At 53.5% G+C, this 26670-nt stretch overlaps 1 protein-coding gene across 32 annotated transcripts in view, besides 2 other annotated features; it reads right to left on the bottom strand.

Annotated features, from left to right (window-relative positions):
• The window catches only part of EHMT1 (euchromatic histone lysine methyltransferase 1), a 217123-nt gene that overhangs the window by 14704 nt on the left and 175749 nt on the right, over positions 1-26670 (bottom strand). For 27 of the 32 annotated variants that reach the window (XM_047423872.1, XM_047423875.1, XM_047423878.1 and 24 more), the window contains 9 exons: positions 22510-22611; positions 20440-20544; positions 9809-9963; positions 8251-8418; positions 7894-8038; positions 6916-6993; positions 5362-5477; positions 3899-3985; positions 3286-3364 (listed from right to left, as the gene is read on the bottom strand). In XM_047423872.1, coding sequence (XP_047279828.1) covers positions 3286-3364; positions 3899-3985; positions 5362-5477; positions 6916-6993; positions 7894-8038; positions 8251-8418; positions 9809-9963; positions 20440-20544; positions 22510-22611 — 1035 coding nt within the window. Of the gene's footprint in view, positions 1-3285; positions 3365-3898; positions 3986-5361; positions 5478-6915; positions 6994-7893; positions 8039-8250; positions 8419-9808; positions 9964-18228; positions 18568-20439; positions 20545-22509; positions 22612-26670 lie in introns of those variants that run through there. The other 5 variants (XM_024447678.2, XM_047423886.1, XM_047423888.1 and 2 more) reach the window with 1 other exon arrangement.
• Positions 4252-4301: an enhancer, noted in NCBI's record as "active region_29371". NCBI's record gives its function as "activates an Ori minimal core promoter by ATAC-STARR-seq in GM12878 lymphoblastoid cells {active_cell/tissue: GM12878}" and the evidence as "EXISTENCE:reporter gene assay evidence [ECO:0000049][PMID:35858748]".
• Positions 12274-12353: an enhancer, noted in NCBI's record as "active region_29370". NCBI's record gives its function as "activates an Ori minimal core promoter by ATAC-STARR-seq in GM12878 lymphoblastoid cells {active_cell/tissue: GM12878}" and the evidence as "EXISTENCE:reporter gene assay evidence [ECO:0000049][PMID:35858748]".

Below are 26670 nucleotides of genomic sequence, written 5' to 3'. Positions count from 1 at the left end.
CCCAGGAGTTCAAGGCTGCAGTGAGCTATGATTATGCCACTGCACTCCAGCCTGGGCAACACAGCAAGACCTGGTCTCTTAAAAAAAAAAAAAAAAAAAAAAAAAGGCCGGGCGCAGTGGCTCATGCCTGTAATCCCAGCACTTTGGGAGGCCGAGGCAGGTGGATCATGAGGTCAGGAGATCGAGACCATCCTGGCCAAGATGGTGAAACCCCACCTCTACTAAAACTACAAAACTTAGCTGGGCGCAGCCAGGCACAGTGGCTCACGCCTGTAATCCCAGCACTTTGGGAGGCCAAGGCAGGCAGATTACGATGTCAGGAGATCAAGACCATCCCGCTAACATGGTGAAACCCTGTCTCTACTAAAAATACAAAAAGTTAGCCGGGCGTGGTGCTGGGCACCTGCAGTCCCAGCTACTCGGGAGGCTGAGACAGGAGAATGGCGTGAACCTGGGAGGCGGAGCTTGCAGTGACCTGAGATCGCGCCACGGCACTCCAGCCTGGGTGACAGAGCGAGACTCCGTCTCAAAACAAAACAAAACAAAACAAAACAAACCTCTAAGGTGAGAAGATGTAAACTACAGTAATTAAAATAATTAAGGTAACACAGCCCAGGCCAAGAACAGTCAGCAGACTGATTGATAGGACGAGGACACTGAGCTATGACAAGAGCCACACTGCTGACTGGGGAAAAGACATCTTCTCCACAAGCAGTGCTGAGTCAGCCAGGTAACAAGATGGGAAAAAAATAAACCTTGAGTCTGATCTTACATCACACACAGAACGGCTGTCAACCTACACATGGAAGCCACGTGAAAGCAAACATGACCGTTTCTGGGAAATATTCAAGTTTTCAAAAAAATATCACTAAGACATTACGAAAACCCAGTATTTAGAAAAAGACTGATAAACTGAACTAGAATAAAAAAAAGAACTTCTGTTCACTCCTAGACATCATTAGGAAATGAAAAAGTCATAGAGAGAAGGCGACATCTGTGGCACACACGAGTGACAACACAGCCTTTGTGAGGATATGTGTCACCAGCCCACAGAAGGCGAGTCGTTCCACAGCAAGGCTGGAATGGGCAGTTCGCAGCAGAGGAGCCTCACAACTCTGCACACGGCATGCACACATGGAGGTTGCCATCCCTTGAGAGCTCAGCCCCACTGCACAGGGAGATGCCTGTACACTGTGACCTTCCAGAGCCCAGCTTCTCTTCTATGAAACACAAGTCATTTCACCAACAGTCACTTCTTAGAAGGTGGCTGCAGGGACGGAGCCTGGGGTTGAGGTTGGCAGTCCACAGAGGCCACTGCTATGAAGACGGCTGCCTGGTGCCCTATTCTCCAGGTATAAGATTTATTCCGTGGTCTGGTGGCTGCTGCTTGAGATGAGAAAAACCTTTATTTCCCCACTGGCTTGGAGTTACTGCAAGTTTCAAGAGGTTTTAAAATAGACAATGGATGAATTCCAGAGCAATGATGGGAACGAGGCTACAGTAAAGGGAACATGAGGGCTGGGATGGGTCAATCACCACTGCCCTAGCCTCAGAAAGCTCCCAAAACCAGGCTCCCGGAGTGGCCCCTGCTCTCTCCCACACAAGATTCTAGCGCCTGGGCAGTGGGGATTGGGTGGGCTGGGGACACAAGGGACGTGTCTGTTGGCCTCTGTGCACAATCCAGGAGGCTCACTGCTGCTTCACTCAGTCACCGAGAACACACAGCCGCTCCTCAGCCTCTTTACAGTCTCGGCACACGGCGCCCCCCCCCTCAGCCTCTCTACAGTCTCGGTACACGGCGCCCCTCAATCGGCCTCTCTACAGTCTCGGTACACGGCGCCCCTCAGTCGGCCTCTCTACGGTCTCGGTACACGGCGCCCCTCAGTCGGCCTCTCTACGGTCTCGGTACACGGCGCCCCTAAGTCGGCCTCTCTACGGTCTCGGTACACGGCGCCCCTCAGTCGGCCTCTCTACGGTCTCGGTACATGGCGCCCCTCAGTCGGCCTCTCTACGGTCTCGGTACACGGCGCCCCTCAGTCGGCCTCTCTACGGTCTCGGTACACGGCGCCCCTCAGTCGGCCTCTCTACGGTCTCGGTACACGGCGCCCCTCAGTCGGCCTCTCTACGGTCTCGGTACACGGCGCCCCTCAGTCGGCCTCTCTACGGTCTCGGTACACGGCGCCCCTCAGTCGGCCTCTCTACGGTCTCGGTACACGGCGCCCCTCAATCGGCCTCTCTACGGTCTCGGTACACGGCGCCCCTCAATCGGCCTCTCTACGGTCTCGGTACACGGCGCCCCTCAATCGGCCTCTCTACGGTCTCGGTACACGGCGCCCCTCAATCGGCCTCTCTACGGTCTCGGTACACGGCGCCCCTCAGTCGGCCTCTCTACGGTCTCGGTACACGGCGCCCCTCAATCGGCCTCTCTACGGTCTCGGTACACGGCGCCCCTAAGTCGGCCTCTCTACGGTCTCGGTACACGGCGCCCCTCAGTCGGCCTCTCTACGGTCTCGGTACACGGCGCCCCTCAGTCGGCCTCTCTACGGTCTCGGTACACGGCGCCCCTCAGTCGGCCTCTCTACGGTCTCGGTACATGGCGCCCCTCAGTCGGCCTCTCTACGGTCTCGGTACACGGCGCCCCTAAGTCGGCCTCTCTACAGTCTCGGTACACGGCGCCCCTCAATCGGCCTCTCTACGGTCTCGGTACACGGCGCCCCTCAGTCGGCCTCTCTACGGTCTCGGTACACGGCGCCCCTCAGTCGGCCTCTCTACGGTCTCGGTACACGGCGCCCCTCAGTCGGCCTCTCTACGGTCTCGGTACATGGCGCCCCTCAATCGGCCTCTCTACGGTCTCGGTACACGGCGCCCCTCAGTCGGCCTCTCTACAGTCTCGGTACATGGCGCCCCCCCTCAGCCTCTCTACAGTCTTGGTACACGGCGCCCGTCCTTCACCTCTGTGCAGTCTCAGGGGTTGCCAAGCCCCAACCCAAGATTCTCAGTTGTGGTTTGGAGGACTGGAGTGGTGGGTCTCAGGCCCACTCTCACAAGAAAGGGGCAGTTGGCTGCACAGGCTCAGGGACCTCCCAAGTCAGAGGTCCCTCCCTCCATCCATGCAGGGCACAGAACCAAGGCCAGCTCCAAATGCGGCACTCAGCAGGTCTATAGCAAGCCCACTCTTGTCAACAGTAAGAGCTCTCTTCTGAATCCCAGCCCTACTGGGACAAACACATTCAGGTTTTACAGTTCACAAGTTCTGCGTGGCCCCAACCCCACAAAACACATTACCTTATTGTCGAGATCAAAGAGGTAAGAATCTTCCTCTCGAACGTCGGCTTCTGAGTCTGAAATCAGCTCCCCAACATACCTGCAGAGGGTGCGGTGCAGGTGAGGCCCTGGAAGGCAGCGAGCACTGCCCACAGACAAGCACAGCCCAGACTCCGCAGCCACAGGGAAAGAGCAGGGCACACCAGAAGAACATGCAGGGAACATGTTTAGAGAGGTGTGCCCAGGGTTGAACTGGGGTTTCAGCTGAGGGTCCGGAGGATGATGATAACGATACCGAAAGCTCTGCGTCTGCGGTCTGGTACCTGAGAACCCAGAATGGTCCTCCCCTAGAGATGACTGCCCATGCTGGACCACGCCTTCCTAACTGGACCACGCCTTCCTAACTGGACCACGCCTTCTTAAATGCACTCCTGGGCTGGTTACGGGCAGCAGCAAGAGGACTGAGGACAGCACGAGCTTGGTTCTCGGGGCCAGGGTCTCTGTGGCCCCCACCCCACGCTGCTGTACGCCAGGGATGTGCCTGCTCCCAGAGGGGCTTCCTGAAGTACAGACACAGATGGGCCTCCGTCCCAGAAATGACACCAGGCTTGGGGTGACCCAGGGACTCACTCACTCGCAGACAAAGGTGCCTGGTGGGATGTCCTGCAGGGACCGCACGCCCCAGCCCATGTCCCGCGTCCGGTAGAGCTGCAGCCTTGCCCTGAAAAATAGAGAGTAGTGGTGAACCCAGGCCACAGCCTCAGCCTGTTGCCACAATGGTCAGCAAAAGCCAGCTGGTGCCACGTCACTGAAATGAGGAAGAAAACTGGTTCTGTATCCGAAGCGTTCGATGCTGCAGGCACCTCACAGACACGGCATCTCGCACTCTCAGGGAGCCAAGAACCCGGGGATCAGCCAGGAGCACCCCAGCCCACAACCTCGGCAAGTCACTGGTCCTGGCCGTGGCTCGGTGTCCCCATCTGTAACATGGGGACAGAGCTGGGCCTGGGCCACTAGGCACTGTGAGGGGCAGAGGTGCTAATACTAGAGAAGCCTATAGCTGGACCAGGCTGTGGTGACACCTGCAGCCCAGCCTGCTCCCGACAAGGAGCCCACAGGCCCCTCAGGGCTGGGGGAGGGTGGCAGGGGAGGTGGCGGTCGAGGGTTTCTCAGGGCTGGGGGAAGGTGGTTGGGCAGGCCTGGGGGAGGGTGGCCGGGTAGATCTGGAGGAGGGCGGCTGGGCGGTCCTGGCATGTGGGCCTCTGAGGAGCCCTCAGAACCACGTGCCTCGCGTCTGCCCATCTGGCATGTGTCCCGTGTCTGCCTCGCGTCTGTCTGGCGTGGGTCCTCACCACCAGGCCTTTCTACCATACCAAGGACAGAGACTGCCTTTCACCATGAACCAAGTTTATCGAGGTCACAAAAAAGTCAATACTATAAAAATGAGTGTTCAGCTAAATTTAAGTGTGCATAACTTTCCCTTATGACTCAGAGGAGCTTTGACTTCTCCAATCTCGGGCACATTTGCGGAGGAAATGCTCAAGACCAGAATCCAGGGAAAGGAGACGCAGCTGCTGGGCGGTCAGGGGACCAAGCCCAGCTGGGGAAGGGCGCTGGGCAAGCCTTACTCCATGAGCGTCCTGAGCAACCCAGGAACAAGGAGTCCACGCAGCCTGAGAAGCGTTGGGACATCACCTCACTGTTAGGGAAGCCCAGAGAACAGAGAATATTTAGAAAATGACTGGAGTATTAAAATAGAACTACGACAGCCCTAACCTGTTGAAGAATGTTCGCATGAACTCGGTAACAAAGGTAATTCTTAGGCCAAGTCCGTTCCTCTGCTTTTAGCTGGACTGACCCAACAACCTGCTCCTTCTCTCATGCCGAAGTCTGTGCTGGGGGAAGCATGACTCGTGATTTATGGCACAAGTGACATTTCTAGAGGATAAAGGGCTCAGGTAACTTGTCGGCTCTATCTGCAAACACACATGTGCGTGCATCCAAACACGTTAAGTTCTTGTCTGTCGGGGTGACCTCCGTGCTAATACGTGCTAATACGAGCAGAATGTGGGGCTCCGGCAGGAAGCTGCCTCTCACCTGAGACCATTCTGTACGACGCGATTTCGGCAGTTCCTCCAGCAGGAGCACGCGTGGTTGCATTCGAAGATCAAGGGAGGCTCCGCCATGTTGAACTCTGGCAGGAGCCGGCCATCCTGTGGACAGATGAGCAGCAAGGGCCCAGCAGAGGTTACTCACTCTTTAATTGAACTGACATCAACCCATTTCTACTAAGTGCCCAGTGTGGCTTAAACGGACATAAAAACGATGGTTTCTGGCCAAACTTGAACACCCACCTAGGGAAAAACTCCATGTGTACGGTTTGGATGAGAAGCCTCCACCCAGATGCCCACACAGGTTGTGGAGACCCCCTGGAGCGCTCCCCTAGGCCCAGCCTGGGGCCAGCTTCTGTCCACCCAGGGCCTTCCCAGCCCCCAGCCTGGGCTTCTCCAGCCTCACCGAGGCTGCCAGCTCCTGGGTTGCTCTGCTTTCTTCAGCTGGTTGGGGCCTCCTGCACCCTCCTGCACTCCTGGCCTCCTTGCCTTGCAAATCCTCAACTGTGGAGGGACCCAGCCCTCTGCTCCCCTTTCTACCCCCCTGAAGCCAGGCCAGGTACAGCAGCACTGGGTGCAGATGCTCCCCCAGGGCTGTGTGAGCTGAGGCGCGGGGCCCAGGGCTGCCCAGGCACACTCTGGCTTGACGGCTTCAGGGGCTGCTCTGAACAATTAGGGCGCTCCTCAGAACATTCCTTCCTGCGCCCCCTCAGCAACACTGTCCACCTGAAAAGACACCACTCGGACATGAGCTTGGTGGCTTTCTGAGCGTACCATCTCCATAGCCCTCACTGGCACGAATCCTTTTCCCATTGGAGCCTCTAATTCAGATGGGTAAACACTTGACCCTCCATGTCCACTCTCCTCCAAAGTCTGCTTCCAGAGGGGACGCCTGTTGCCTCTCCCTGCTCGCGTCTCTTTACCCAGGCCATGCTGGCTTCCGCCCCCACCGTGACCTCTGAACTCGGGAGACCAGGAACTCTCCGCCTCTGCTTAGACATCCCTCCCCTGAATTGCACCCCTGCTAGCCAGGGCTACTCCCCACTCCCGTCTCCTCCTCAGCAGCCTCCAACCTGGGCTCCTCCGAGGACCAGCACCCAACAGAAACTTCCAATCCTGTGTCTCCTCAAGCCCAGCGCCCACACTGATGCTCCCTGTACCCAGCCCGGCAGCACCCTCCCTCTTCACACCCCTCACACTCAGCAAGCACAAGGCACAGCTTACCAGATACACACAACATAAGCAGCACCTCCTCCTGGGGCCAAGCCAGGCTGACGCTGCCCACCCCCGCCACCATCCAGGCAGCCACAAAGGATGCAGACCCCAGCCCCAGGGAATCCGCAGCCATGTCCTCGGCTCACGACCCTGACTCGGGTGCTGGTGCCCGCTGTGCCTCCCCTGCCTGTCACACCCAGCTCACCTCCAACTCCTTCCCGACGCTGCCACGACAGCGCTGGGGTCACAGACGCCTGCACTGTTTTTGCAGACCCGGACCAGCGGCACTTACCACCTGAGCCCACGCACACGAGGCCGCCCTCACCTTGTCGTACCAGCAGCGCATGCTGAGCTGGCCGCACATGCAGTTGCTGGAGGAGCAGTCGTCGATGCACACGCAGTACTGAGAAGAGAGGCGCCGGGGGGTCAGACGTGCAGGCACAGGCCTTCCATTTCCCCTCCCAGTCACAACTACGTCTTCCAGTTCTGTTAACCCTGATTCTGGTAAGTGCTTCTCAAAGGCACCACGTGAGTGTGTGGCCTCTTAGGGAGAAGGCTGTGCAGGCAGAAACATGTCGAGTGCCTGTGGGAGGGAGCTCTGGCTGAGGACCCTGACAGAGGGACAGGGGGCAGGCAGGGCAGCGACGCGGCAGTGGGTGACGTGGGGTGGGTGAAGGGCTGGGCGGCGGCTGCATTTGTGGCCAGATGCTCGATGGGAAAGGCAAGAACACAGAGCCTGACACACCTTGTGGGGCGGGGGGCGGGGGGGGGGGGGGGCCTGGGCAGTGCCCGGCCTGGGAAGAGGAGGGAGCTGCCCACAAGCAGAGCCACAAGGAAAGTGCTCGAGAAGGCGCAAGCAGTGAGGGCACCAGGCTGCATGCACTCGGAGGCTGGGAAAGCTGGCATGTGCTGGACCCATCTCTCCGGGGGCTGGGAGGTGCAGGGATCCAGGTCGTCCTGCAGGCCTCGCAAGGGCTCCTCTCGCCTGTGCCCCCAGCACGAAGCCACACCGGGGCCCCTGAGTGTGAGGTTACAAAAAAGGCACAAAGATGCCTGCCACTGCTTTGGGTCGGTAAGAAGCCTTGGAAGAGCAATGAGAGGGCCCAGGGCTGGGCCTGACAGAACCTTTATCTGCCTTCCAGCTCTTTCACGGGAGGCAACTACAAAGAGAATGAGGTCTTCCTGGGAAGCCCCCCATAAGCCCTCCTGCTCTGAGTGGTGAGAACCCAGGACCCCAGGCTCAAGAAGCTTCTGCCTGTCCCATGTCCTGGCCTGAGTCAGCCCTTCATCTGCCGTCACTCACCTGCAGATGAGTGATATTTCTGTCGATGTTCATGGGGGACGTCACGCAGTTCTGAGAGACGTACTTGTAGTTGCTGGGGCATGGCTCGCTGTCCACGGCGTTGACACAGGGGATGGGGATGCGCTCGTAGCCTCGAGCGATGTCCCTGCCATGGAAAGGACAGGTGTCACCTGGTGGCTGACGTGCTCTGCCCAGGGGGTGGCACAGCGTGCAGTGGGGCGGCTGGCAAACACCTGGCCCTGACAATTTGGACTGCAGCCTGGGGATGTTTCGGCTTCAGGAGCAGCTTTCACCGCAAGTTCCCAAAGCCCTGCTGACCGCTGATTTGCCACAAAGCCGTCCTGGGGCTGGGCTCACCTGCTCACTATCCTCTCCACGGGGCTGGGCCTGTCGGGGGCCGAGTCCTGCAGAGCCTTGCTCATCTGCAGAGCGCTCCACACCTGAGAGTTGAGGCTCGCACACTGCAGGGGCGTCTCTCCTTCCTTGTTCTTTAAGGTGACATCTGAATCCCGAGAAAGAAAGAGGCTAAAAGGGAAAATGTAAGGCCACAAAACATTTAAAGCTGACTTGAAAATGTGATACAGATGAGATTTATAAAATGTCCGTCATCACTAACAATAAAGGGAACACTATTCACTGTGAGATAACTTGAACAAGTCTGCTCAGCAATGACTCTGCAAAGACGGGCTTTAGCTCACCCAGGAACATGATTCCCTTCCTCCTCTCCCACATTCACTGTCAAAGTCAGCAGGCTGTTTTCTTAGCAGGAAGAGTGTAAAATCCAGGGCGGCATTTGATTTTTCTTGGATTTTTCATTCAAATTTACCCTCAAGGATAAGAAGGGAAGCAAGGAGGGAGAGAGGCCAAGCTTGGGCCACGCACAGCGTGAGCAGTCCTCAGTTCCACTCCTGCTCACTGCATCCAGACTGCAGTCATCGTACGTGGAGCTGGGCTTCACACAACCAGATGACCAACCTGGCTGAGCCACCGTGAGATCCACATGTGGGAGGGCACAGCCCCATGTGTAGGGGCCAGGGAGTCACTGGAGGCTGGTGCCTGGAGCACCCACAGTTCCCTGTCCTTCCCCAGCAGCCAAACACACACTCCATCCCAGGCCACCAACAACAACCTGAGTGTGGATGACTTTATGGGATCAAGGTCTCAAGCTTTTTTTGTTTTTTGGGTTTTTTTTGAGACAGAATCTCACTCTGTCGCCCAGGTTGGAGTGTAGCGTCGCAATCTCCACTCACTGCAATCTCTTGCCTCCTGGGTTCAAGCGATTCGCCTGCCTCAGCCTCTGGAGTAGCTGGGGTTACAGGCACATGCCACCATGGCCGGCTAATTTTTGTATTTTAGTAGAGATGGGGTTTCACCATGTTGGCCAGGCTAGTCTCAAACTCCTGACCTCAGGTGATCTGCCTGCCTCAGCCTCCCAAAGTGCTGGGATTACAGGCGTGAGCCACCACCACCCAGCTGAAGGTCTCAAGTTTTAAAAGGGCCCTGAGTGGCGAGTGCCACAGCCCCCAGCAACTCCAGCCCTGGCTGTGGGTGGCACTGCTCCCAGAAGGCACCCTGAGCCTCTCGGGGACTCTGAGCTGGCAGGTCCCTGCTGGGAGCAGGGCTGTTCCCATGCTGCCCCTCAGCCATGTGAGGAGTATCAGGTCTGAGACTCCAACTTGGGAATTTTTTCATGACAATCCTCCCTAACCCAGAAATAAACCACAGCTGATCTCAAACGTGGACTGGGAAAGACACTTCTCTGCGTGTGGAACACCAAGGATGGACTTCCACACGAAGGAACAGAGGGCCTGTGTCCACTCACGCCCCAAGTGTGAACACAAGACTGTCAAGCGGTCTCTCTGGGCGCCCAGGTCAGGTCAGCGCCAGCCCGCGCTGGGGGAAGCACTGCACTCACACGACACAGTCGTAGCGGTTCTCCCGGGCGGCAATGTGCAGTGGCGAGTCTCCGTGGATGTTCACGGCGTGGAGGTCGCACTTGGCAGCCAGCAGGATCTCGGCTATGTCCACGCAGCCGGAGAACGCCGCCCAGTGCAGGCAAATGTTCTCCTCCTGAACAGACACAAGCCAGAGCTCAGTGCAGGCTTCCTGCTGGCTCACAGTGCTGGGGCTGGGCCACAGCAGCTGCAGCCCATGTGCCCGGGGAGAGGCTCTGGAGCATGCGTGGCCGTCCGCAGCAGGGCCAGGTGGAAAGGGTGCCACAGGTCACCGGATGGGAACCTAGCGCCCATCTCAACTCTGGAAGGCACTTCGTTTCATGTTTTGTTTGTTTCATTGTAAAAATAACATAATTATAAAAGTAGCATAATCACAGTAAAGAATAAAAATAGGGAAAAGGTCATCCAGAATTATATCAACCTACACTCAACATATTAACACTTGGAGGCACTTTTCTTTCATGTATTTTTAAAAATTATATTCATTTCCAAGCAGGGGTATAGTCATAGGATAGGATAATGCTTTTGAAAGATTTGAAAAAAGGACGTGCAAATTTGATTAAATTAAAATTTTGGGCCGGGCATGGTGGCTCACGCCTGTAATCCCAGCATTTTGGGAGGCAAAGGCAGGTAGATCACCTGAGGTCAGGAGTTCGAGACCAGCCTGGCCAACATGGTGAAACCCCGTTTCTACTAAAAATACAAAAAATGAGCCGGGCGTGGTGGTGGGCACCTGTAATCCCAGCTACTTGCGAGGCTGAGGCAGGAGAATTGCTTGAACCCGGGAGGCAGAGGGTTACAGTGAGCCGAGAACGTGCCACTGCACTCCAGCCTAGGCAACAAGAGCGAAACTCTGTCTCAAAAAAAAAAACAAAAAATTTTACTTTAAAAAAGGCCTCTTTTAAATAAAACAAATAAAATTTGGAGAAATACTTGTGCCACATGTAAAATATAGATGATTTATAATCACACAGTAAATTAGAACACTGTAATTCTGAAAAAATATGTGCAAAGGAGAAGAAAATAAAAAACGTAGGTAAGAAAAAGATGAACGGTAAACATAAGAAAATGTTCAACTCTGCCAGGCAGCCAAGAATATAAATCAGAACAATGAAGTATCCCTAACTCTATCGCCCCAGGGATAAAACAGCGATAAACGGAATGAGGAACACGCCCACGCTGTTTCCTAAGCCTGATGCCCACCTGTCCCTGACCCTTCGTCATCACCAGAGGCTCCCAGGTACTGAGGCCTCCTCCAGTTGGCGCCGTGCGAGGAGCGCCTTTCACGCAGGGCGGCATCGGAACCGCCTCCGGACCCATCACCGACGGTCCACGCGGGGCGGCATCGGAACCGCCTCCGGACCCATCACCGACGGTCCACACGGGGCGGCATCGGAACCGCCTCCGGACCCATCACCCACAGTCCACGAGGGGCAGCATCGGAACCGCCTCCGGACCCATCACCGACGGTCCACACAGGGCGGCATCCGAACCGCCTCCGGACCCATCACCGACGGTCCACACGGGGCGGCATCGGAACCGCCTCCGGACCCATCACCCACAGTCCACGAGGGGCAGCATCGGAACCGCCTCCGGACCCATCACCGACGGTCCACACAGGGCGGCATCGGAACCACCTCCGGACCCATCACCGACGGTCCACACAGGGCGGCATCGGAACCGCCTCCGGACCCATCACCGACGGTCCACACAGGGCGGCATCGGAACCGCCTCCGGACCCTTCCCCCACAGTCACTCAGCTTCCGGACCTTTCCTTTACTGAACACTTGGTTTATGTCTGTTGGTATATTTCTGGAATACAATGCCAGCAAATATTTTAGTGCTTTTCATTTTCTACATTATTTCTCAAGGATGCATCCTCAGAGGCAGGATTGCTGGATTAAAAGCACGTGAGCGTTTCACGTTCCTGAAGTGTGTTCTGCTCTGCTGGTGTCTGGGAGCGCCGGCTGCAGCCTCCTTCCCCTCGGGAATGGTCAGCGATCTTCCCAGATGCCATAAACCAAGCCCCGCCTGACTGACCGCTTTGCTGCGGCGGCTGAGGAGGCTCGGGGCCCAAGGCAGACCCCTGCAGGGGTGCGGTCTCCACCCCGCAGGCTCTGCTTCCATTTGAGCTCTGCCCCGCCTCCCTCCGAGGGCGCAGGGCCGCCGCCACATCCCAGGGACTGGCTCTGCAGGTAGGCAGGGTCACCCCCAAGAGAGAAGGACGCGGGCTCTTCTGAGACACCCTTGTGCTCTCACGCAGTCCCCCTCCCAACTCCACACCGTGCAGCACCGTCAACCCTTCCAGCTCAGTGAAGGCGAAGAAAAAAGCAGAACAGAAACCGAGTGGCCTGGTCTCCAGCATCTTCATCCACAAACGGCCAGCCCCCGGCATGGGCTTCACTGTTCCCTTGACTTCTAAAAGAGAAAACTAAAAGCGAACTCCGTGTGTAGGCCTCAGTGGATTTCCTGAAGAGCCTCTGCTGCTCTTGGGCTCCTCCACCCCTCTGCTCTTTGTTTCTGGCTTCCCTCCTCCATACATTTCAGAGCTCCTTGAACAAAAGGCTGCTTGCTTAGGGGCCTCTTTTCTTTTTCCTTTATCAGAATGATTTATGATTTTATAACCAGAATTACATTTTTTATTTTTTTTTAGAGGCGGAGTCTCACTCCGTCACCCAGGCTGGAATGCAGTTGGCACGATCTTGGTTCACTGCAACCTCTGCCTCTGGGGTTCAAGCGATTCTCGTGCCTTAGCCTCCCCAGTAGCTGGGATAACAGGCTCATGCTACCAGGCCCAGCTCATCATTTTGTATTTTTAGTAGAGTCGGGGTTTCACCATGTTGCCCAGGCTGGTCTCAAACTCCTGACCTCAAGTGATCTGCCACCACGCGCCCCCCCCACCCCCCGCCCAGAATTACATTTTTGAGAGCTTCCAGTTCACATAAGATCCTTCCACTCTGGGACTGTTCAAACGCCCAGCCTTTCTGAAGTTGGCTGAGTTACGACAAGCCTGGCCTACAACTGGTGAGCAACCGCACTCCTGAAACAATGGGGTGATACAGACCAGAACAGGTTTACCTTCCCACCTAAAAGAACCAGAAGAGTAAAACAAAACAGTCAAAACCTATGACCATGGTTGTCAAGACACCAGACACCAGGCAGGGAAGGACCGTGCCCCTGAGAGGCGAGTCTGTGAGGGAGCCCGTGGCTGCCCAGCTCACTGCCACCAGAGCTCCAACCATGGCGCAGGGGGTAGGCAGGCAGGGCCCCCGGATGCTCAGACAGAAAACAGAGCTCCAAGAGAGGTTCCAGAGATCTGTGCACTTCCGGCAGGAAGTGGGTCATCCGGCAGGACACTAGCGGCCACAAGCCTGTTGAGAATGTGCACTCAAAGCCGGGGCCTTTCCCCACAACCAGGCAGGCCACACTCTCCATCTACAGGCTGTGGGCTGGAGGACAATGGACGGACCTGCCTCGGTGGCTCCAGACCCACCTAACAAACCTGAAAAGCAAAATCCAACATGATCTGACTGCTTTCAAGTGACTGAGTTCCAGAACAAAGTTCAAGAACATTCACACGAAGAAGAGTCCTTAGCACCATACAAGTTTTGCAAAACCCACCCACATCCTGGCATCGGCTACAGGTTACCAGATGTGCAAAGGAACAGGAAACATGACCCACAATGGGGAGAAAAACCCAGTCAATCAAAAAGCCCGGCTTTGACACAGATGCTGGATTAGCAAACAAGGTCATTAAAGCCATTGGTGGGCTGGGTGAGGTGGCTCACACTTGTAATCCCAGCACTTTGGGAGACCTTGGCGGGGGAATCACTTGAGGTCAGGAGTTCGAGACCAGCCTGGGCAACGTGGTGAAACCCCGCCTCTACTAAAAATACAAAACTTAGCCAGGCGTGGTCGTGCGCGCCTGTAATTCCAGTTACTCGGGAGGCTGAGGCAGGAGAATGGCTTGAACCTGGGAGGCGGAGGTTACAATGGGCCAAGATTGCACCACTGCACTCCAGCCTGGGCAAAAGAGTGAAACTCTGCCTTAAAATAAACAAATAAATAAATAAATAAATAAATAAATAAATAAATAAGTAAATAAAGCCATTGGTATAACTGTATTCTATAGGTTCGAAAGTTAAGTAGAAACATGTTAGGAAATGTTTGAAAGACTCCAACAGAACTTTTAGAGCTGAAAACGACAATGCCTAGAATGTAAGCACACAGACCGGATGAGCTCAACAGCATCACGTGCAGAAGAAAAGATGAGTGGACTAGAAGACAAACCAACAAAAACCTGCTCAACTGAAACACAGAGGGAAAAAATAATAATTTAAAAATTGAAAAGAGCACCAGTGAGCTGTGGAACCACTCTGAGAACTCCTACATACACAGCTGGAATACTGGAAAGCGTGGTGGGCAGAAAACATTATTTGAAGAAATAATGACTGAAAAATTTCCAAATTTGTCAAAAACCCTAAATCCACAGATCCAAGAAGCTCAATGAACCCTACGTGCACACACACAAAATAACACCAAAGCACTTCAGTAATCAAATTGCTTTACAGACAAACTAAGGCTTAGAGGAAAATCCAATTGCTAAAACCAAGAGATACAGAAAAAACATTTTAAAAGCAGCCATATAAAAAAGACACATTATACACAGAGAAATAACTGTGTGGTGGCACTGGATTTCTCACTGCAAACACTGCAGGTGAGGACCCAGGGAAACCGCCATTTAAAGCATTGGAAGAAATAACTACGCATCCAGAATTCTAAGAATATCTTTCAAAGATGAAAGCAAAATAAGGACTTTCCAGGCATTAAAGAGCTGTAAGAGGGCTGGGCACAGGGGCTTACGCCTGTAATCCCAGCACTTTGGGAGTCCGAGGCGGGCGGATCATGAGGTCAGGAGTTTGAGACCAGCCTGGCCAACATGGTGAAACCCATCTCTACTAAAAACACAAAAATTTCCCGGGCGTGGTGGCCAGCGCCTATAATCCCAGGTACTCAGGAGGCTGAGGCAGGAGAATCGCCTGAAACCTGGAAGAAGGCGGTTGCAGTGAGCCAAGATAGCACCACTGCACTCCAGCCTGGGTGAAAGAGCAAAACTCCATTTCAAAAAAAAAAAGCTGCAAGAGCTCATCACAAGCAGACCAACACCACAGAAAAGGTAAAGGGAGTGAGGCCAGCGGAAGGGAAGCAACATCAGGAGCATGAGCCCACCAAGGTGGAGAAGCGTGGCAGGGACAGGGATGGGGATGGCAGGAGCAACTGCAGAGCTCTTCTGCAGTCTTTCAAACAGACCACTCGGCTGGGCGTGGTGGCTCATTTCTGCAATCCCAGCACTGTGGGAGGCCAAAGCGGGCAGATCACCTGAGGTTGGGAGTTTGAAACCAGCCTAGCCAACATGGTGAAACCCCCATCCCTAATAAAAATACAAAAATTAGCCAGGCGTGGTGCCATGTGCCTGTAATCCCAGCTACTTGGGAGGCTGAGGCAGGAGAATCGCTTGAACCAGGGAGGTGGAGGTTGCAGTGAGCTATCGCACCACTGCACTCCAGCCTGGGTGACAGGGTGAGACTGTCTCCAAAAAAAAAAAGAAAAAACCAGGCCGGGCACAGTCGCTCACACCTGTAATCCCAGCACTATGGGAGGCCAAGGTGAGTGGATCACGAGGTCAGGAGTTTGAGACCAGCCTGACCAAGATGGTGAAACCCCGTCTCTACTAAAAATACAAAAATTAGCCAGGCGTGGTGGCTCGTGCCTGTAATCCCAGCTACTCAGGAGGCTGAGGCATGAGAATAGCTCGAACCCGGGAGGCGGAGGTTACAGTGAGCCAAGATCATGCCACTGCATTCCAGCCTGGGCGACGGAGCAAGACTCCATCTTAAAAAAAAAAAAAAAGACCACTGACTGTTTAAACAGAATAACTACATGGCTATTATGGTGTTCAGAACATATATATGTGTAAAATATAGGAGAATAGCAGTATCAAGTTTGGGAGGAGAAAAATGATTTTGCAAGACCTACTGTAAAGCTACATCAGTCAAGAAAGGACAGTACTTGCCTAAAGGCAGATATGCAGATCAATGCATCAAAAGAGAGGGCCCTGGAGCTGACACACACATCTGGACGACTGACTTTACACACATGTGGACAACTGACTCTGACATGTGGACGACTGGCTCACACATGCGGATGACTGATACATACGCAGACAACTGACATGGATGACCAACTCATACATGTGGACGACAGACTCACAGACATGCAGATGACTGACTCATACATGCAGATGACTGACCCTTACATGTAGACAACTGACACACATGTGGACTGACACATGGACGACTGACAGACATGCAGATGACTCACACGTGGACGACTCACACGTGGACGAATGACACATGCAGATGATGGACTCACACATGCGGATGAGAGACACACACATGCAGATGACTGACTCACACATGCAGACTCTCACATGTGGACGACTGACAGACATGTGGACTGACACATGTGGACGACTGACAGACATGCAGATGACTGACTCACACATGGACAACTGACACATGTGGACACACATGCAGATGACTGACACACATGGACGGACTCATACATGGATGACTGACAGACATGCAAATGACTGACACATGTGGAATAACACATGGGTAACTGACTCACAAATGCAGACAACTGGCTTTTGGCAATGGTACAGAGTCAATTCTATGTAGAAAGAATGGTTTTCTCAACAAATGGCACTGAACTAGGCATCCATAAGCCAAAAAAAAAAAGTTCAATCCATACCTCACACCACATACAAAAGTCAACTATAATAAAACACAGACCTAAATGTAAACCCCCAAACCATAAAACTCGTATAAGAAAATGTGGGAGAATATCTTTGGGTTCTCAGATTAGGCAGTGATTTCTTAAACAGAACGCCAAAAACAGGATCCAGTTAAAAATAAAGAAAAACGTTGATAAACCAAACTTTATAAAAACTTTTAAAATTCTGCACTTCCAAAGACAGATCTGTAAACCATATATCTGATAAAGGACTTATATCCAGAACATGAACTCTTAAAACTCCAGAATACCCAATAATAAGCAAGAAAAATATTTGAACAGACACTTCATTAAAAAAGATATATGGATCGTAAATGAGCCCATAAAAAGATGCTTAACATCAACTGTCATTAGAGAAATGAAATGAACTGAAAACTAAAACCACAAGATATCACTACACACCTATTAAAATGGATAAAAGTTAAAGACTGACCATGCTAAGTGTTGGGAAGGATGCGGAGGAACCAGGACTGTCTGATATGGGTTGGCTCTGTGTCCCCACCCAAATCTTGTCTTGAATTGTAATCCCCATGTGTCAAGGGAGGGACCTGATTGGATTATGGGGGTGGGTCTCCCATGCTGTTCTCATGTGAGTGAGTTCTCACAAGAGCTGGTTTTAAAGTGTGGTACAATGCTCCTCAATCTCTCCTGCCACCATGTAAGACGTGCTTTGCTTCTCCTTCACCTTCTGCCATGATTGTTAAGTTTCCCGAGGACCCCCCAGCCACGCTGAAGGGTGAGTCAATTAAACCTCTTTTGTTTATAAATTACAGTCTTAGGTAGAACCCTGATAGCAGTGTGAGAACGGATGAATGCACTCTCATACACTAGAGATGGTACAATCACTTGGAAAGCAGTTTGGCAGGTTTTTTTTTTTTTTTTTAATTTTTGAGACAGGCTGGGGTGCAGTGGTGCGATCTCAGCTTACTGCAGCCTTGACCTCCTGGGCTCAAGCGATCTTCCCACCTTAGCCTCCCGAGTACCTGGGACCACAGGTGTGTGTCACCATGCCTGGCTACTGGCAGTCTCTGAAAATGTTAAGCCTAGACACCTGTCATATGTTCTAACCATTCTACTCCCAGGGGTTTAATCAAGAAAAATGAAGGCATGAGTATTCACAGCATCTCTCTTAGTAACCACCAAAAATCAGAAACAACCTAATGTCCACTGATAGGTGAAGGGTAAACAGACACATTCACACAATGGGCACTTCAGGCAACGAAAATGGGGATCTCGGCTTAAGGACGCGAGGGAAAGCTGCCCATGGTGAGAGCCCTTTTCTATAAAACCGAGACACGCAGACAACAGAAAGCCCAGCAATGGGTGGCAGGGGTGGGCTGGGCATGGCTGTGAAGCGCGGAGGATCACCTGAAGATCATCAGGGCATGAGGGAGGACTGGGCTCACTCTTCCGACAGCAACAATGGCTTCTGGGTGAAAATTCACCCAAGTGTGTACTTTGAATATATGCAGCCTACCTATTATACAGCAATAAAGTGGTTAAATTAATGAAGTGTTTCATTGTATAAATAACAAACTTGAAATTTAATCAATGCTTCCATTCTGGGGGAACAGCCACCAGCATCAGAGAGCTAACAGCTCTGACACCTGGACAGGCTGCAAACTGCCCAGGCATGCAGGCCGACCAGCCACACTAGGGCCGCCTTCCCCGCCACGCAGTCTCCGGGGGCGGTGGGTGAGGTGGCCCCACCTGGGGGTGGCCTCTGCCTTGTTCTCTGCCTTTGCTTCCCTCCTCTCTTCCTCCAAGGTACCCGCCACAGCCTTCCACCAGCTCAGGGCTCCTCTGCTTCCCTCTTCTCTTCCTTCTGCCGGCTCAGGGCTCCTCTCTTCATGGTGCCGTCATCCTAACCCGCAGTGGGAAAGAACTCCGGTGGAATGAGGTAGAAACCCCCTGGATACAGTCATGGAAGCCCTGCAGCCCACGGAGGAGGCACTGCAGCTCAGGACCAGTCACTCCAGAGAGGCCTGCGTGCCTGCAGGGAGGCAGCGGGTGCCCACAGCCAGTGGTCCCTGTTTCTAGGTGGGAGGTGGGGTCTGCTTACATGCAGCGAGGGGTTCCAAATGCAGACCTCCCCGTGCCAACAATGAATGGCAAGGGCCCGTGCCCACGCCGTTCTCAAGCTCTGAGAGGAAGTGTCAGCCCTCCCTCCTCAGACACCAGACTTCAGCACATTGGAGATTTAATAGTGTGCTTTTAGAAATCTTCTTTTTCTGTGTCAAATCTTCTTTCTTATTATCAATTTAGTGGGTTTATTTGTGGCTGGACTTCCCATTTCTGGCCTCTGGAACCCTCTGTGAAGGCAGACACAGCTCTGTGGGCTACAGCACCTCCCATTTCTGGCCTCTGGAACCCTCTGTGAAGGTGGACACACCTCTGAGGGCTGCAGCACCTCCCATTTCTGGCTTCTGAACCCTCTGTGACGGTGGACACAGCTCTGTGGGCTGCAGTGTGTCTATGCCCGTCTTGGGAGGTGACCAGAGTACCCCCTCGCCCCTTGCTGTCGTGCCCAGTGCCACACCCAGCCCCCTGGCAGGCCCACTGGTTTTGTGGGTCCCTGAAGATCTTCTAGTGAACACCCTTTTGAGTTAATCAGTCACCTGCTGCCACTCTCAGGCTGGGGAGTCCTCCTATCTCAGCTCCAAACTCTATTTTCTGAGCAAACAAATGGGCCTTACAAAACTAATTGTCACTGAAGCATCTTAAATCACATCCTAGAAAACCGTGGTATGATAATGTTCACTTTTCTTTCCTTTGTTTCAAAGAGAGAGCCAGGGGCCAGGCGTGGTGGCTCATGCCTGTAATCCTTTGGGAGGATGAGGTGGGCAGATCACCTGAGGTCAGGAGTTCAAGACCAGCCTGGCCAACATGGCTAAACCCTGTCTCTACTAAAACTACAAAAATTGGCCGGGCGCAGTGGCTCACACCTGTAATCCCAGCTCTATGGAAGGCTGAGGCGGGCAGATCACCTGAGGTCGGGGTTCAAGACCAGTCTGGCCAACACGGTAAAACCCCGTCTCTACTAAAAATACAAAAATTAGCCAGGTGTGGTCGTGGGCGCCTATAATCCCAACTACTCCAGAGGCTGAGGCAGGAGAATCACTTAAACCCGGGAGGTGGAGGTTGCAGTGAGCTGAGATCACACCACTGCACTCCAGCCTGGGTGACAGAGCGAGACTCTGTCTCAGAAACAAACAAATAAAAAATACAAAAATTAGCCAGACACGGTGGCACACACCTGTAATCCCAGCTACTGGGGAGGCGGAGGCATGAGAATCACTTGAACCCAGGAGGCAGAGGTTGCAGTGAGCCAAGATTACGCCACTGCACTCTAGCCTGGGCGACAGAGCGAGACTCCATCCATAAAAGAAACAAAAACAAAAACAAAGGGAGAGCCAGAGGTGCTGTGGCACCCGCACCAGGGTCAGTAGCCTCAGGCCCAGGCACAGCCCCGTGAGGCAGCAGGAGGGAGACCAGGGCAGTGCAGCGCCCTCTGAACCCGCAGATCCCTAGAGGGTGGCCTCTGCTGGGACCTCACATCCCCCATCTGCATCCAGCACAGGACAGCCACAGCACAGTGCCGGGCCGATGCTGCCACAGGAAGAGGTCAAAGCCGCCACCAGGTGCCAGGGTTCTGCTTTTGAGAAAAGAACCTTCTGGGGGAGGAGGTCCCCACCCCTCCAGGACACGGCTCCCGGGGAGGGTGTGACGAACTTACGTTGTCTCGGATGTTGATGTCAGAGCCCTTGGACAGCAGCAGCTTCACGAGGTCCACGTGCTTGTACTCTGTGGCCCAGATCATGGGTGTCCAGCCTCCGTCATCCTGCCAGGGAAGAGGACAAAGCTGTCATCGCTCCAGAGACCGGCAACCACCAGAGCAATGAGGACTCCCACGCCGAGGTCTCTGCACCTCCCAGGTACCATGCCCCTCGTGCAGGCGTCTCACTCAGGACCTGAATGCAACCTTCAGAGGCCACAGTTCTTCCTCAGAGCACAGCCCAGGTAGCTCCACAAGCGCAGGATGAAGGCAGAACCAGGACTGGCCCAGGCCCAACAACCCTGCCCGACATGCCCTGTGCTGTCGGCCTTGCCCGCTCCCAGTTGGGCACCACTCACTGGGGACGCACCAACACAGCTGCGTGCAACGAGTCTAATGGCACACACACGGGAGCTGAAACTTCGTAAGCCCAGGCCAGACCCGGAGCGCACCAGCAGCCTTGGCTGGCAGGAAGTCTGGGCTGTAGCAGGTTCTGCTCCTCCTTCAGCCTCCAATGGTGGCTCCGTGCAGGAGAGCCAGGGACCCCATCAGAGCAGCAGCTGGGAACTGTGGGTGGGAGACGGACAGGTGGACAGAGGCGGACGCCCCTGCTTCCTCCTGGGCAGGGAGCAGAATGCCCACCCAGGCTGATCAGCTCTGCGGCTCCTGCCACTCCTGAGTCCAGTCAGTGGGCCCGGGCAATTTTCTTTAAGCCAGAAAAAGGCAACTTTTCTGAAAATGAGGGTCATATGGCCAATTCCTACTCTGAAGGCAGAAGACTCAGCCTCTTCCCCAGCACCCGTCAAAGGACCTGCACATCCCAATGTCACAGACACAGCAGCCTCCACGATTAAAGCTACATCTCCCCTGCGGTGGACAGTCAGCCTGCACATCCTACTGTCACAGACACAGCAGCCTTCATGATTAAAGCTACATCTCCCCTGCGGTCGACAGTCAGCACCACCACAGGCACTGGGAACACAGCAGGGACAGCAGAGCGCAGCCTCCTGGAGCCCAGCCCCCCTGCTCAATGGAGGAGGGTACAACGTCAGAGAGAAGAGGTCAGAGGATGCTTCAGATGCAGGGACCAGGCGGGGCTCCGACCTCTGGGCGCTCAGGGCAAAGGCGAGAGTATGGGCCTTTGAGCATATCACAGACGCTGCTGCTTCCAGCCCATGGGGACGCTGCCACAGCCAAGAGGGCACAGAAGCTGGGCGTCAACAACTGGGTGGGCAACCACTGGGCTAAAAAGACTCGGACCAAGCCTCCTGAAGGAAGGAGTGAGAGCGAGCGTGAGGATGGCACTTATCCCAGAGCTGTGGGTCCATGCAGGAGGGACCCCCAGTGCATGGTGAGCAGCCTCAATCCATGCAGGAGGGACTCCCAGTGCATGCTGAGCTGAGCAGCCTCAAAGCCTGCCCTTCTTTGATCTCCCCAGTCATTCACTCGTGAGGCAGGTGGCCCCTGTGTGTGAGGCGCCGCGGTTCAGCACACATGCATGGCAAACCCTGCCCCGTGGCGCTGGCTGTGGGGCAGAGACGGACAATGAGCAGGAAGGAAGACGGGTGCCAAGGAGGGAGGCTAGTGACACCTCCCTCAAATGGTAATACCTAGACACAGCTGATGGAGAGCAAGGGAGGAGCCTCCAGCCAGACACAGTGCAGAGCCTGCCCTGCTGTGAGCATTCACAGCAGGCCAGGGAAGAAGGGGACAGGGAGGGGACAAGGCACTCCAGGGCCCAAGGGCTTGAGCTAACCCTGTGTGTGGAAGGCGATGCCGTGGAGGGTCCGAGCTGGCCCTGAGTGTGGAAGAGGACGCTGGAGGGCCCGAGCTGGCTCTGTGTGTGGGATGGGACGCTGTGGAGGGTCCGAGCTGGCCCTAAGTGTGGAAGAGGACGCTGGAGGGCCCGAGCTGGCTCTGTGCGTGGGAGGGGACGCCATGGAGAATGGGGGTGGGACCAGGAGCTGCAGAACAGTGAGTTTCCGTAGCCAGTCCACACAGTGTACTGCTAAGGGGAGGGGGTGGCTGTACCTGACAGTTGACGTCCATCTGTCCATTTGAAAGCAGGTACTGGACCACTTCGTAGTGGCCTTTCTTGGCAGCCAGGTGCAAACACGTAGAGCCCTCTGCGTCCTGCAACAGAAATGCCACTTAGTCAAAGAATCCATACCTGTGATCCTGGTGTGCCAGCCCTGAGTGCGGGATCCAGGAGAACCCGGTGTCTACCATGCGGGTGGGGTACTGTCCTGCTCAAATGACAAGGAAACCCAGGCTGAGGCCGAGGGAACAGCCGAGGTCCAAGCGCTGTGTGCAGCCCCCTGTGGCCCCATGAGTGGTCAGTCGCCTGGCACAGTGAAGACACCGTCAATGATTCAGCAATAGTTGTCCGTGTACCACAGAACTTAAAATAATAGATGGCAAAAAGTGGGAACACAAAGAGCGCCAGGCCCACCCCACGGCTCCGGAAACGCCAGGGACTCTGCCCTCCTCTTGCTTCCTTTGCTGCTGGGCACATCTTGTTTTTTTTTTCTTTCTCTCCTTTTTGAGATGGGGTCTTGCTGTATCGCCCAGGCTGGAGTGCAGTGGTGCGATCACAGCTCACCACAGCCTCTGATTCCCATGCTCAAGTGATCCTCCTGCCTCAGCCTCCCACGTAGCTGGGACTACAGGTGTGCACCACCATGACTGGCTAATGTACTTTTTTCTTTCCTAGAGACAGGGTCTTGCTACACTGCCTAGGCTGTTTTTGAACTCCTGACCCCAAGCAATCCTCCCACTTTGGTCTGGGAGTCGTAGGCATCGTAACTGGGATTACAGTGCTGGGATTACAGGCATGAGCCACCATGCCCAGATTGGGAACACCCTCTCATTTCCTTTCAGCTCTGTTTCCCTGAGGAGACCAAATAGATCACACCTATCAAACCATCTCAAAGGAAAACAAAGACATGCAAGGTTGGAGGTCAGACCCAGGAAGCTCCAGAAGAGGCAGGGGAGCCGGTGCCGCCCACACCGCTGTGCCATCCACACGCCTTACACAGGGTTCTTCCTGCCTGTGCTCCTCACACAGGCCCGCAGACGCACTCCACCACCGTCTCCCTTCAGGTGTTTGCTTTGCTTTGCTCCCCTGTTCCTGTCTCCACTTAACCATGTTCCTTCATTACCTTTCTCCCCTTATCTCGGTGGAGTCCGTGTAGCAGTCATAGAGTTTCGCAGGCATCACTGCACATACTGCTCCCCTACCTGGGGCTAAATCAGCATGCTCACCTTCCTCAAGGAAAGCCAGCACACCCGGTTCCCACACGGCTAGTGTTCAGAATTGTAATTTTATTATGAATACAAAATGATGCATGGTTGTTAAAGGTCTGCCTTAATTTTCAAGTGTCTTTAATCGCTGGAATAGTGCAGCTGACAATCTCCTAACTGCTGGCAGACTGTCACAGAATTCAGGACAGAAGCAGGTGCACCTGGCAGAGACCTTGGGCAAGCACTTCTGAATCAAGCAGGTGAGAGACAGACGCCAGCAAAGGAAGCTTAGTGAAGGAAGCCAGCTGTCACAAGAGCAAGACACCAGGCAGGAGGAGGGCAGGGCTGGGAGCGGCAGAGTGGTGGGGTGAGGGGATTGAGAGTCAGCCAAAGGAACCCCGTGGGAATAGACGTGAAGGTGGCAAAGAGCGGGGCTGCAGGTAAGGAAAGGCTTCTGTCGGGTTCAGTGACAGCAGCTAGCTGTGAGGTCTGCAGGCACACAAACAGAAGCTCAAGACACTGGAGCCCACCCCCACCCAAGGGACACCCCACACAGCGCCTGTCTGGTTTCTTTTCCTGCCTCCTTCCGAGAAGTTATCACTATCCTGAATTCGTTACTCATCATTCCCACGGATCTCAATACCTTTACTACATATATCCATAAATGATGTTTTTACACCCTTTTAAATTCTCAAGATCACAGTGTATATCACCTGCAGACACATCACAGACCCTACTGGTGTGAGGCCCTGCTTGCCAGGCAGCCTGCAGTCCCCGCGCCCCACCAGTAAGGACCCTGCCTGCTGCTCTATGTCCCGCCCCGTCAGTCTTTTCCACCTGTTACGTTGTATGGAATTCAGTGACTGTAAGATGGTCCCTCAGTCCTGTGTTTTCATCTGCTTGTTGGTCATATGCATGTATTTCTTTTTCTGGGAACTGCACGTTTATGTTCTTTGCCTATTTTTCTGTGTGGTTTCATTTCTTTTTTTTTTTTTTTTTGAGATGGAGTCTGGCTCTGTCGCCCAGGCTGGAGTGCAGCGGTGCGATCTCAGCTCACTGCCAATGCCGCCTCCCAGGTTCACGTCATTCTCCTACCTCAGCCTCCCGAGTAGCTGGGACTACAGGCGCCCACCACCACGCCCAGCTAATTTTTTGTATTTTTAGTAGAGACGGGGTTTCACTGTGTTAGCCAGGATGGCCTCGATCTCCTGACCTCATGATCCACCCGCCTCAGCCTCCCAAAGTGCTGGGATTACAGGCGTGAGCCACTGCACTTGGCCTCATTTGTAGTTCTTTATATTTTTGGATATTAATCTTTGGCCGATGCATTGCAAAATCTTCCCCCAGTTTTTAGACTGCCTGTTCGTGTCCTTTGTGACACCTTTTTGAAGAGAAATTCTTAAATTTTAATGCACTTAACTTTGTCAATCATTTTTGTGCTTTTTTGTGTCTTAAAAGACGCTTCCCCGTGCTGGAATCACAAAGGCGGCCTCTGTGGTCTTCCAGGCTTCGTAATTTGCCTCTCCTCGGATTCACCTGCTTGCCACGTGCAAGCGCGCTTCTCCAGCCTGGCTGGCGTCTTCGTGTTGGAAGCAGGAGTGCTGCAGGAAGACATGGCTGGTTTCTCGCTTTCGATGCCATCAGACAAACCTCTGCCTTTTAGGATGAGAGCGAGTCTGCAGCATAACTACTGACAGGGTGAGGTTGGCATCTGTCGCTCTGCTGTTTGTTTTCTATTTGTCCCATCTGCTTTTATTCCTGCATTCTAGTTGCACAGTTTTTCAGTATTACATTTTACTTCCTCTACTAGTTTTTTTTTCCTGAAAAGCTCTATTTGTTTTATTTTCTTGGTGCTTTCTCCAGGGATTACAATATTCGTCTTTACTGGTCTTCTTAGATTAATACTGTACCACCTCCCACAATAAAATACCTTTACAACAGTGTGATTCCACTTTCACACTGCCCTCCTTTGGGTAGTTATTATCCTGTATTTCACAGCAGGTCGTCAATAGGATCGTTTCATTCAGCGTTGTTTTGTTATAACATTGATGAGGTTAAAAACAAACAAACAAACAAACAAAAACCACTCCCAGCCGGGGCCACTGTCTGTGGAGTCTGCACGTCCTCCCGTGTCTGTGTGCGTTTTCTCCAGGTACCTCAATTTCACTCACATCCCAAAGACTCGCATGTTAGGTGAATGGGTGTGTCTACGTTGTCCTGGTCTGAGTGAATGTGTTTATGTGTGTGTGTCTGTGTGTGTATGTGAGTGTGAGAGTGTGTGTGTGTGTGTGTGTGTGTGTGCACCCTGCGATAGGATGGTGTCCTGGCCCAGGACTGCTTCCTGCCAGGTGACCTGAGTTGCCAGGATAGGCTCTGTTCGCTCACAACCCTGACCTGGAATAACTGGGTAAATATTTATCTTGTTTGTATTAATCTTTCTTAAATGTCTGTACAGCTCACATGTATTTCAGTGTTTAATATCAGAAATACTTTGGCCTTGATTTGGAAGCTTACCGATGTTTTTGTGACCAGGAATATGGCAGAAGAACTTCACTCTTGTTTAGATCAATCAGTCTGTGGTAAACTGGCTTCAATGCTTGAAGAAGTCGCATGCTCTAAGGACCTGTCAACAGTGTTAAGTGAAGACTTACTGTGCTTCCAAACGTGTCTAAACTCCACCTTATGACATTATTTGAGTTTAAATGACCTCTCACATTTTAGGAAATTTAAATAGAAAAATGTCTTCATATCCGCCATCTGGTGCCCCTCATTCATTCCCAACGCGCTAAGTTTTCCTCCTGGAAGCTTCAGGATTCCAAGCAAGCTTATCTGCCTTTTGCTTTTTTACCCGAACATGTTTGATTTCACCATCATTCGCTGAAGGGTACGTTTACTGGATGTAGGATTCTGGGTTCACATTTTTTTGGCTTTGCTTCTTTCAGCACAATA

Source organism: Homo sapiens, chromosome 9 (assembly GCF_000001405.40).
Source record: "Homo sapiens chromosome 9, GRCh38.p14 Primary Assembly".
Classification (NCBI taxonomy): domain Eukaryota; kingdom Metazoa; phylum Chordata; class Mammalia; order Primates; family Hominidae; genus Homo; species Homo sapiens.
The sequence above is the reverse complement of the archived record's forward strand: the minus strand, read 5'-3'. Positions and strand labels throughout refer to the sequence as shown.